The sequence below is a fragment of the Homo sapiens genome, chromosome Y (assembly GCF_000001405.40).
Source record: "Homo sapiens chromosome Y, GRCh38.p14 Primary Assembly".
Taxonomy (NCBI): Eukaryota; Metazoa; Chordata; class Mammalia; order Primates; family Hominidae; genus Homo; species Homo sapiens.
This window is the reverse complement of record NC_000024.10, coordinates 7,858,759-7,859,081: the sequence shown is the minus strand read 5'-3', so window position 1 is coordinate 7,859,081 and position 323 is coordinate 7,858,759.

The window sequence follows — 323 nt, the reverse complement described above, 5'->3', positions numbered from 1 at the left end:
ATTCCTAGGGCAGCACCTAGGTGATATGATTCTCCTCATCTGCCTGAGCCCTGCCTACTTCGGACACTTTGAAATATCTCTGAGCCCTTGACCTAAGTGATGTGACTGTCTTTTTCAACCTGGGCCTTCAAAATAGGAGAATTTTGACATATTGCTGAGCCCAGCAGTCAGGACATTGACCCTCCTGTTTTTCTGGAATTATAACCAGAAAGAAGGAATTCTGACCTATTGTGTGGCCCAATACCATGTAATTTTTTTCTCTTCTTCCTAGATCGTGCATAAAGAGAAATTATGGCATATTGCATATTGCTGGGCCCAGCACC